This window comes from Homo sapiens, chromosome 11 (assembly GCF_000001405.40).
Source record: "Homo sapiens chromosome 11, GRCh38.p14 Primary Assembly".
Classification (NCBI taxonomy): domain Eukaryota; kingdom Metazoa; phylum Chordata; class Mammalia; order Primates; family Hominidae; genus Homo; species Homo sapiens.
This window is the reverse complement of record NC_000011.10, coordinates 60,563,038-60,575,026: the sequence shown is the minus strand read 5'-3', so window position 1 is coordinate 60,575,026 and position 11,989 is coordinate 60,563,038. Positions and strand designations below refer to the sequence as shown.

Below are 11,989 nucleotides of genomic sequence, written 5' to 3'. Positions count from 1 at the left end.
ATTTTTACTATGTTGAGATTTTCAGCCACAAATATAAATGGCTTTTCATTTATGTAACCTACTTGGAATTGTTTTATTTTATTTAATTTATTTTTTTTTCAGAGGTGAAGTTTTGCTCTTGTCAACCAGGCTGGAATTCAGTGGCATGATCTTGGCTCACTGCAACCTTTGCCTCCCAGATTCAAGCAATCCTCCTGCCTCAGCCTCCTGAGTAGCTGGGATTACAGGCACATGCCACCACGCCAGGCTAATTTTTGTATTTTTAGTAGAGATGGGGTTTTACCAGGTTGGTCAGGCTTGTCTTGAACTCCTGACCTCAGGTGATCCACCCACCTCAGCCTCCTGAATTCTTTTATTAGTATTAGATAATTTTCAAAATATAAGTCCTGTACATATTTTGCTAAATTTATACCTAAGTATTTAATTGTTTGAGTGATTTTAAATAATATTGTTTTAAATTTTGTTGTCCATATGTTCATTGCTATTATATAAAAATATAATTAATTTTGTATGTTGATCATTAATCTTGTATCCTGTGACCTTGCTGAACTCACTTATTAGTTCCAGGAGTCCTTTTCTTTTTTATTGCATGGGATTTTCTACACAGATCATCATGTCATCTGCAAACAGGGATATTTTTATTTTCTCCTTTACAATCTGTATGCTTTTTATGTTTCTTTTTTTATCTTATTGATCTGTGCTAAGACTTCTAGTACTGTGCTAGTAAGCATGGTGAGAGATGGTATCTTTGCACTGTTACCAATCTTAGGGGAAAATAATTCAATTTTTAAAGATGAAATATAATGTTAGCTGTAAGTTTTTTTGTAGGTGTTCTTTATCAGGTTGTGGAAGTTCTCCTACATTTCTATTATTCTAAGAGCTTTCTAAAATATCATGAATGGGTGTTAAATTTTGTCAAATGTGGTTTATTTTGCATCAACTGACATGATCATGTGATTTTCCTTCTTTAGCCTATTAATATGATGGGTTACATTGATTGCTTCTTGAGTACTAAACCAGCTGTGTATATCTGGAATAAGTTTCACTTAGTCATGGTGGAAAATTATTTTTAAGTATTGCTGAATTATATTTCCTAATACTTCATAAATGATGTTTTTGTCTATATTCTGAAGGATATGGATCTATAGTTTTCTTCTTTTGTACTATCTTTGTCTTATTTGATTTTGGTATCAGAATAATATTGGCTTCTTCAAATAAGTTGGGAAATGTTTCATTCTCTTCTGTTTTTTTGAAAAATATTGAGAAAAACTGGTGTTGAATATTCTAAGAACATCTGGTAGAATTCTTTGGTGAAATCAGGCCTGGAGATGTCTTTTTCAGGAGTTTTAAAATTACAAATTTTATTTTTCTAACAATTATAGGGCCATTAAAATGATCTATTTCATATTGAGTTGTAGTTTGTGCTTTTTGGGAAAATTTGTTCATTTTATCAAAGTTGTCAAATTTGTGTCTATAGAGTTACTGATAGTAGTCTCTTAATATTATTTTGAGATATAAATTATCTGTAGTAATATACTCTATTTTATTTCTGAGTTTGATAATTTTTGTCTTCTCTTTCTTTTTCTTGATCAGTTTTGCTAGATGTTTGTTGATTTTGATGATCTTTTAAAAGAATCAACTATTTGTTGTACTGATTTTCTCTACTTTTTAAATTTTAATTTTATTGACTTATCTTTATTATTTTCTCCTGATTTATTTGGGTTTATTTTGCTCTTCCTTTTCTAGTTTTTTTTAGGTGAGAGTTTGGAGTATTTATTTGACAATTTTCTTGTCTTAATAATAGGGAATCCTTTCCCCATTTCTTGTTTTTGTCAGGTTTGTCAAAGATCAGATGGTTGTAGATATGCAGCATTATTTCTGAGGGCTCTGCTCTGTTCCATTGGTCTATATCTCTGTTTTGGTACCAGTACCATGCTGTTTTGGTGACTGTAGCCTTGTAGTATAGTTTGAAGTCAGGTAGCATGATACCTCCAGCTTTGTTCTTTTGGCTTAGGATTGACTTGGCAATGCAGGCTCTTTTTTTACTGGGTATATACCCAAAGGATTATAAATCATGCTGCTATAAAGACACATGCACACATATGTTTATTGTGGCACTATTCACAATAGCAAAGACTTGGAACCAAGCCAAATGTCCAATAATGATAGACTGGATTAAGAAAATGTGGCACATATACACCATGGAATACTATGCAGCCATAAAAAATGATGAGTTCATGTCCTTTGTAGGGACATGGATGAAGCTGGAAACCATCATTCTTAGCAAACTATGGCAAGGACAAAAATACCAAACACCACATGTTCTCACTCATAGGTGGGAATTGAACAATGAGAACACATGGACACAGGAAGGGGAACATCACACACTGGGGCCTGTTGTGGGGTGGGGGATGGGGGAGGGATAGCATTAGGAGATATACCTTATGTTAAATGACGAGTTAATGGGTGCAGCACACCAACATGTCACATGTATACATATGTAACTAACCTGCACGTTGTGCACATGTACCCTAAAACTTAAAGTATAATAATAAAAAAAAAAAAAGAAAGAAAAGGTACTATAGGAAAACTCATCAAGAAGGATGAAGAGATCTGGATGGGGCTTTGGGGCTCAATAGAAAGACACAGGGGCTCTTGGAGACCTCCCTGTGCTATGTGGCACTGGTTTTTTCATGTTCAGCAAATTGACTCTATAGAAAAAAATTTCCATCTTCAGAGTGACTGAAATGAAAAATGGACATTAAATTGTATTACTAAAAATTCATAAAACTAAATACATGTAAAATAAATTTAAGTAATTAAATGATAAAATGATTTGTTTGAGTTTGTACTTTTGAAGTTACCAAAACTTGAAAGTAAACCTTTTAGGATACTGTATACTTTGAAATACCTTCTCCTAGTCTGTGGCTTGCCTTTTCACTTTCTAAATAGTGTCCTTTAATAGATGTTCCTGATTTTAATGTATACCATTTTATCAATATTATCCCCCATGATCAGTGCTCTCTGTATCTATTTTAGGAAATCTTTAGCTGCTCCAAGATGATGATGATAATCACCTATGCTAAAATCTAGAAGCCTATTGTATTATCCTTTTCAATTGTGGTAAGATATACTTAGCATATTATTTATCATTTAAACCATTTGTATGTATACAATTCAGTGGTATTAAATACATTCACAATGCTGTGTACCAATCATCACTATCTATAACCAAAACTTTTTCATCATCCCAACAAGATGAAATACTCCCCATTAAGCAGTATCTTCCCTTCTCCTCTTCTTCCGTCTCCTTGTAACCTCTATTTTGCTTTCTGGCTGTATGAATTTGCCTATTCTAGATACCTCATGTAAGTGGAATTATACAACATTTGTCTTTCTGTGCCTGGCTTATTTAACTAAGCATAACATTTTCAAGGTTTGCTTTCAAGGTGTTGAACGCATTAGAATTTCATTCATTTGTAAGACAATAATATTTTATTGCATACATATATAACACATTTTGTTTATTCATTCATCTGATGATGGCCATTTGGATTGTTTCCATTTTTTGGCTATCATGAATAATGTTGACATTGACTTAGTGTACCAATATCTGTTTGAGTCCTTGCTTTTGGTTCTTTGGAGGTATATACCTAGAAGTGGAATTGCTGGAAGATATGGTAATGTTATGTGTAACTTTTTTAGGAACCACCACACTGTTTTCCACAGAGGCTCTAACATTTCACATTCCCACCAGCAGACGCAAGGTTCCAATTTCTCCACATCCTCACCAACACTTGTTTCCTTCCTTCCTTCCTTCCTTTTTTCTTTCTTTCCTTCCTCCCTCCCTCCTTTCCTTTTTTAGTGATGGCTGTCCCAATGGGTATGAAGTGGTATCTCATTGTGGTTTTGATTTTTCAGTTCCCTAATGGTTAGTGATGCTGAACATCTTTTCATGTGGTTATTAGTCATTGTCTATGTTCTTTAGAGAAATGTCTATTCAAGTTCTTTGCCCACTTTGAAAATTTTTTGTTATTATTAAGTTATAGGAGTTCTTTATATATTCTGGATATTAATTCCTTGTCAGATATATGATTTGCAACTATTTTCCCACTCTGTAGATTGTCTTTTCACTCTTTTGAGTGTTTTTTGATGCACAGAAGTTCTTAATTTTGATTAAGTCGAATTTATCTCTTTTTGCTTTTGCTGCTTTGTGCCTTTGGTGTCATATCTATGAAATTATTGCCAAATCCAGTCTTGTAAATATTTTCCGCACTCTTTCCTTCTAAGCATTTTATAGTTTTGTCTTTTGTTTAAGTTTAGATGTTAAGTTTCTCTTCAGTTAATTTTTGTATATGGTATAAAGGGTCCAACTTGATTCTTTTGCATATAGATATCCAATTTTCCCACAGCATTTGTTGAGAATACTGTCCCTTCCCCATTCAGTGGTCCTGACATTCTTGACAAAAATCTATTGACCATATATGCAAGACTTTATTTCTGGGCTCTCAATTTTTTTCAATATGTCTGTATGTTTGTCTTCATGCCATTACCATACTTTTAATAACTGTAGCTTTGCTACAGTTTTTGGAGTCAGGAAGTGTGAGTCCTCCAACATTATTGTTCTTTCCCAAGATCATTTTGGCCTGTAATTCCAAATGAATTTGAAGAACTTATTTTCCATTCTTGCAAAAAGGCTGTTGGGATTTTGATAGAAATTGCATCGAATCTATATATTGCTTTGGGTAACAGTATTAATGTCTTAGCAATGTTAAGACTTTCTATCCATGAACACATATGTCTTTACATTTATTTAGATCTCCTTTAATTACTTTCAGCAATATTTTCTAGTTTTTAGCATACAAGTCTTTCACCTCCTTGGTTTGTTTTATTCCTAAGTATTTAGTTTTTTATATGCTATTGTAAATGGTATTGCTTTCTTGATTTCCTTTTTGGATTGTTCATTACTGGTATATAAAAACATAACTAATTTTTGCGTGTTGATCTTATACCTTGCTACTTTGATAAATGCTTTTACTAGCTGTTATATGGATTCTTTTTTATTTTCTATGTAGAAGATAATGTTATCTACTGACAGAGAGAGCTTTGCCACTTTCTTTTCAATTTAGATGCCTTTTGTTTCTTTTTTTTTTTTTTTTGTCTAACTGCTCTAGCTAGATCTTCCAGTACAATGTCAAATAGCAGAGGTGGAAGAGGGCATCCTTGTCTTGTTCCTGATCTTAGAGAGAAGTCTTTCAGTCTTTTACCATAGATAATCATATTATCTGTATTCATTCATAAATATCCTTTATAGTGTTCAGAAATTTTTCCTCTATTCCTAGTTTTCTGAGTTTTTATCATGCAAGGTGTTGAATTTTGTTATATGCTTTTCCTGCAACAATTGAGATAATCATATCATTTTATTCCCCTTTGTTTTATTAATTTGATATATTACACTGATTGATTTTCTTATATTGAACCACCCTTGCATTTCTAGGATAAATCTAACTTGGTCATTTTAAATAATTCTGTTTCTTTGTAAATAATATGCTGTTGGGTTTCACTTGCTAATATTTTGTTGATTGTATTATCTTTAACAATTAGATCTATAATCTGCCTGGAACTCATTCATTTTTATGAATTTATTGAAAGTTATAAGTACATTTTATCCCATTGTAAGACAATTTATTGAAAACTATACTTTATACAGCTCTGAACTGTTCTTGTTATAAATTGTCTAAAAATGTGTACATCTGTTTTTGAACTCTATTCTGTTTTGTTGGCATATTTTACACATGCACTGTCTTAATAACTGGGACAGTTATTAAATCTCTCAATTGCTAGGACTCTGACAATAGGCTCTATAGGTGGCTTCTCCAGTTCTGCAGTCTCAGTGTAGTTATACTTGTAATATGGCCCCTCATGGCTCCCCCAGAAACAGAGTGTCTCAAGAAACTAGTAGCTTTAGAATAAGTCTTGATATTTGGTAGCATGAGTTCTCCAACTTTATTCTTCTTCAACATAAACTTGGACATTCTTGTCTCATTTAATTTCCACATACATTTAGAATGAGTTTTGTGTCTAAACTCTTATTTTAAGTTCAGGAGTACCTGTGCAGGTTTGTTATATAGGTAAACTTGTGTCATGGGGGTTTGTTGAACAGATTATTTCATCATGCAGGTATTAAACCTGATACTCATTAGTTATTTTTCCTGGTCCTCTCTCTACTCCCGCCCTTCACCCTTGGATAGGCCCCAGTGTCTGTCATTTCCCTCTATGTGTCCATGTATTCTCTCAGCTTGTTAATTTTGGTGATATTCAGTTGATGGATAGGTTGGTCTGAAGGGTCTGAGAGGACCTCACTCATGCCTGATATACTGGCAAGTAAGGCTGGCTGAACTGAGACTCTGATAAAAGCCACTGCAGGTGGCTTCTACAGCAGGGCAGTGTCAATGTAGCTGGACTTCCTGTATAGCAGCTCAGGGGTCCCAGAGAGAGTGCTCTAAGGTATAGAGAATGGAAGCTGTGTCCTTTTGAAGCGTGGGCCTAGAAAGTCACAGTATCATTTCTCCTATATTCTGTGAGTCAAAATGTTCAAAGTCCACTTAGATTCAAGAGAAAGGGACCTAGACTTGACTTTTTCTGTGGTCAAGGAGTGTCAAAGAGTTTATGATCACTTCTAATTTGCCACAGGAAGGATTGATATCTTTAAAATTTGAGCCGTCTAATTTGTAATATGACTTGCCCCTATATTAGATCTTTGAATTATTTTAATATTATATATACATAAATACAGACACACCTTGGAGATATTGTGGGTTTAGTTCTAGATCACCACAATAAAGCAAATATTGCAATAAAGTGAATCACAGTAATTTTTTGGTTTTTCCATGCATATAAAAGTTATTAGGGCTGGATGCAATGGCTCATACCTGTAACCCCAGCACTTTGGGAGGCTGAGGTGGGCAGATCACCTGATGTCAAGAGTTCGAGACCAGCCTGGCCAATATGGTGAAACCCGTCTCTACTAAAAATAGAAAAAAATTAGCTGGGTGTGGAAGTGTGCACCTGTAGTCCCAGCTACTAGGGAGGCTGAGGCAGGAGAATCGCTTAAACCCAAGAGGCGGAGGTTGCAGTGAGCCAAGATTGTGCCACTGCACTCCAGCCTCGGTGACAAAGTGAGACTCCATCTGAAAAAAAGTTATTAGACTATTAGACTGTAGTCTATTAAGTGTACAACAGTATTGTATTTAAAACTGGACATATCTTAATTAAAATACTTTATTGTTAAAAATGCCAGTGATCATCTGAGACTTCAGTGAGTCATAATCTTTTGTTGGTAGAGGGTCTTGCCTTGATGTTAATGGCTGCTGACTTCTCAGGGTGGTGGTTGCTAAAGGTTGGGATGGCTGTAGTGATTTCCTAAAATAAGACAAGGAAGTTTGTCATGATGATTGACTCTTCCTTTCTTGAAAGACTTCTCTGTAGCATGTGATGCTGTTTGATAGTATTTTACTCACAGAACTTGTTTCAAAATTGAAGTCAATCCTCTTCAGCTCTGCCACCGCTTTATCAACTAAGTATGTGTAGTATTCTAAATCCTTTGTTGTCATTTCAACAGTGCTCATAGCATCTGCAGCAGGAGTAGATTTCATCTCAGAAAACCACTTTCTTTGCTCATTCATAAGAAGCAACTCCTCCTGTAATCCCAGCACTTTGAGAAGCCGAGGTGGGCGGATCATGAGGTCAGGAGATCAAGACCAGCCCGGCTAACACGGTGAAATCCCATCTCTACTAAAAATAAAAAAAATTAGCCTGGTGTGGTGGTGGGCACCTGTAGTCCCAGCTACTCAGGAGGCTGAGGCAGGAGAATCGCTTGAACCCAGGAGACGGAGGTTGCAGTGAACTGAGATCGCGCCACTGCACTCCAGACTGGGTGACAAAACAAGACTCCACCTCAAAAAAAAAAAAAAAAAAAAAAAAAAGAAGCAACTCCTTATGCAATCAAGTTTTATGAGATTGCAGCAATTCTGTCACATTCAGGCTCCACTTCTGATTCTAGTTTGCTTGCTATCTCCACCGCATCTGCAGTTACTTCCTCTACTGAAGTCTTAAACCTCTCAAACTCATCCATGAGGCTTGGTCTTCATTTCTTCTAAATTCTTCTTAATGTTGATATTTTGACCTCTTTCCATGAATCAAAAATGTTCTTAATGGCATCTAGAAGGGTGAATTCTTTCCAGAAGGTTTTCCCGGATTCACTTTGCCCAGGCCCATTAGAAGAATCACCATCTATTGCAGCTATAGTCCTAAAAAAGTATTTCTTAAATAATAAGACTTGAAAGTCAGAATTACTCCTTGCTCCATTGGCTGCAGAATAGGTATTGTGTTAAAATCATGAAATGGTTAATATCCTATAGAGCAATAGGAGGAAAAGGAGGAAAAGGAAAAGTCATGAAAAAACTTTATCTCCTTGTATATCTCCATCAGAACTCTTGGGTGAGTAGGTGCATTGTCAATGAGCAGTAATATTTTTAAAGTGTTTTTTTTTTGGCACAGTAGATTTCAACACTGGGCTCAAAATATTTAGTAAACATGCTGTAAACAGATGTGCTGTTATCCAGGTGTTATTCATATGCTGTTCCATTTATAGGGCGCAGGCAGAGTAGACTTGGCATTATTCTTAAAGGCTTAGGATTTTTGCATGGTAAATGAGCATTAAAGAGCACTCAACTTAATTAAAAGTGGATATCCAAGTTATAGGTATATTTAAAAAGGTCTTTATGTTTTTCTTTTCTTGGATCTTGTTTTGCTGGAAAAAGGTTTTGTTCTCAGTTGTCTAAATTCTTTTTCTCCATTTTGTCTTTCCACTCGATACACACATGAGAGGCCTTAAGATAACTCCTGGGGTCATTGGACTCCTTGGGAAAAACGGCGAAGGCACCACTCACCCTGTTTTGGGAAGAAATCAGTTTTCATCATGGAACCCCAGGAATTAAAAGTGGATTGATCTCTCTCAAAATCTATTTTGCCTCCCAGTCGTGCCTGTTTATTAGACCCTAGAAGCTGCATGTTTTCCTAGCCCTGTCTCTTAAAGGGCTCCACCCAGAGACCAATAATCCAATTAGGAGATTAGCAAATGAAAAATCTTATGGATGCTGGATTTCTTCTGCCTGTCTGTGTAGTTATATATGTATTGTATGTGTGATGTCTATTAAAAAATTGCTAATTAATTGGCCTAAAGGAAGATAAGCACTTGGATCAAATATTTTTTAAAAGGGAAGATAAAAGCTGTGGTACATTTTAGTTCACATGACTTTAATCTTTGAGAAATAAAAGCAGCCTTAAAGATTTTTGGTGAAATGCAGATGTAGTCAAAATATAAATAGGCAAACTAAATTATTTGGGTCAGATATGAGGTTTGCTTCCCATTTCATGGATAAGGTCATGCTAGTATCCATGGTGCAAAATGAGGACTAGGGAATTCAAAGGCTACTGACAGCAGAGGAGATAGGGTAAGAGCAAATATTCCCTTCCCCACCCCCTCCCCATTAACATGGGCAAAAGCTGCTTTGACACCCATGGAGGGCACCCTATCACGGTTGCCAGGACTTGGGGATACAAGGACAGAGGAAAGAAAGAGGAATGTCTCACTTTCCCTCCCTGATATACCCTGGGCATTGACTAGGAAGAGAAAGTAACCAGGGACACCTGCTCCCCTCTTTCTAGATGAGTAGTCATTCATCTTCAGTCTGTACCCCTTTCAAATGCATCCTGAACCTGTAGGACTCCTCTGAAAAAAATACCTTATTTTTTCCTTTTTCTTTCCCTTTCTCTCTTCACTGATACATAATTGTGTCTCCATGTGTCTGGAATTTATTCCTTCTGGTGGGTTCTTGGTCTCACTGACTTCAAGAATGAAGCCACGGACCCTCACGGTGAGCGTTACAGCTCTTCAAGATGGTGTGTCCAGAGTTTGTTCCTTCAGATGTTCAGAGGTGTCCATAGTTTCTTCCTTCCAGTGGATTTGTGGTCTCACTGACTTCAGGAGTGAAGCTGGAGACCTTCACAGTGAGTGTTACAGCTCTTAAAGGTGGCATGTCCAGAGTTTTTTATTCCTCCCCATGGGTTCATGGTCTCGCTGACTTTAGGAATGAAGCCACAGACCCTCACGGTGAGTGTTACAGCTCATAAAGGTAGTGCGGACCCAAAGAGTGAGCAGCAGCAAGATTTATTGTGAAGAGCGAAAGAACAAAGCTTCCACAGCATGGAGGGGGACCCAAGCGGGTTGCCACTGCTGGCCGGAGTGGCCAGCTTTTATTCCCTTATTTTTCCCTGCCCACGCCCTGCTGATTGGTCCATTTTACAGAGTGCTGATTGGTGCATTTACAGTCCTTTAGCTAGACACAGAGTGCTGATTGGTGCATTTACAATCCTTTAGCTAGACACAGAGTGCTGATTGGTGTGTTTTTACAGAGTGCCGATTGGTGCGTTAACAATCCTTTAGACACAGACCGCTGATTGGTGCATTTACAATCCTCTAGCTAGACAGAAAAGTTCTCCAAGTCCCCATGTGACCCAGGAAGTCCAGCTGGCTTCACTTCTCATCCATACTATGGAACACTCCCCTCAGATGCATTCTCCAAACTGGGAAGAATTAATTTCTCAAACCTTAAACCAATTGGCTTAGGATTGGGCTCAGGGGAAGGGACCCAGAAGCCTCACATGCTAGCAAAAGGGCAAAAGTTTTTTTTTTCTTTTTCTTTTTTTACCAGTCGGGTTTTTGGCCTCCCTCTCCCTGTGCAAACTAATAAAAGATCTCAGGATCTCTGAGCTGTCCTTACCCACCCCTTGTTTCATTTTGATATGTGTTTCTTAATAACCCTGTTTGTCTCTTCTTGCCTTCAGGCCATCAATCTCCACATGGTCATGCAACCAGAACCTCCAACAATGGCCCCTTTAACAACGACCCTTAGATAGGCCTCTGAGGGAGATCTGACTGCCATTTTCCCGAACAGCGCCCACTGTTGGAAGCAGCAGTTAAGATCGGTCTTCATCCTTACCCGTATCCTTATTCTAATGGCAGCTAGATGTACTTCATTAAAGGGGATAATGAGACAGCCAAATGCTTAGGCAGATTAAAAAAAAAAGGTCCCTGGAGAATCTCCCACCTGCCCCAGAAGTGTTTACATCAGATGCTTTTGTGCAGATGGGGAAACCTGCCCAGGGCTTGTCTGGGCATGCCCACAGCGGACTGGAGGCCGACATGTACACTGGGGGAAGTAGGTGGAGCCACGGGGAATTCAGGCCTTATGCAGGAGAGGAGCCTGCTCTCTTCAGTTCCTGTGTGGTGGCCCAGTATCCAATCTGTGAGGTCAGTGGCCTGTTAGCAGTACTCCATCTCACTTTGCTGAGTTTTTTTTTCTTTTTTTTCTCTTTTCACCCAGTAAAATCTTGTTCTACTCACCCTTCAATGTGTTTGCATGCCTAAATTTTCCTGGTTTAGTGACAAGAACCCAGTTTTAGCTGAACTAAGGAGCAAGATTCTGCAACACTTTTTACAGTTGATGGATGATTCAATTTTTTCCAGTTTTCTATTTTTGAATAAAGTTACTAGAAACATTCTAAACATTTTTTTGTTCAAATATGGACTAATTTCTGTTATACCTAGGAATATATACCTAGGAATGTGATTGCTGAGTCATGGGCATACTTTTAATTGGCTATAGTTGATTCTGCTAAACAGCTTCCTAAAAATATCAATTTATGCTTCCCTCATACACAATATGAGACTTGCACATATTGCTAATACTTGATGTTTTTATTTTTTGTAATTTTATATTTTAGCATATTTGTAGTAGAGTTGTATTTGAGGTTTTTCATTTCCTTTAATGCTAGTGATGTTGAGCACATTCTTATATGACTATTGGATACTTGGTGATCCTCATTTGAGAAGTACCTATTCACATTTTATATCCAATTTTATGTT

General features: G+C 36.9%; 1 annotated feature.

Annotated features, from left to right (window-relative positions):
- Positions 11,165–11,404: an enhancer, noted in NCBI's record as "active region_4773". NCBI's record gives its function as "activates an Ori minimal core promoter by ATAC-STARR-seq in GM12878 lymphoblastoid cells {active_cell/tissue: GM12878}" and the evidence as "EXISTENCE:reporter gene assay evidence [ECO:0000049][PMID:35858748]".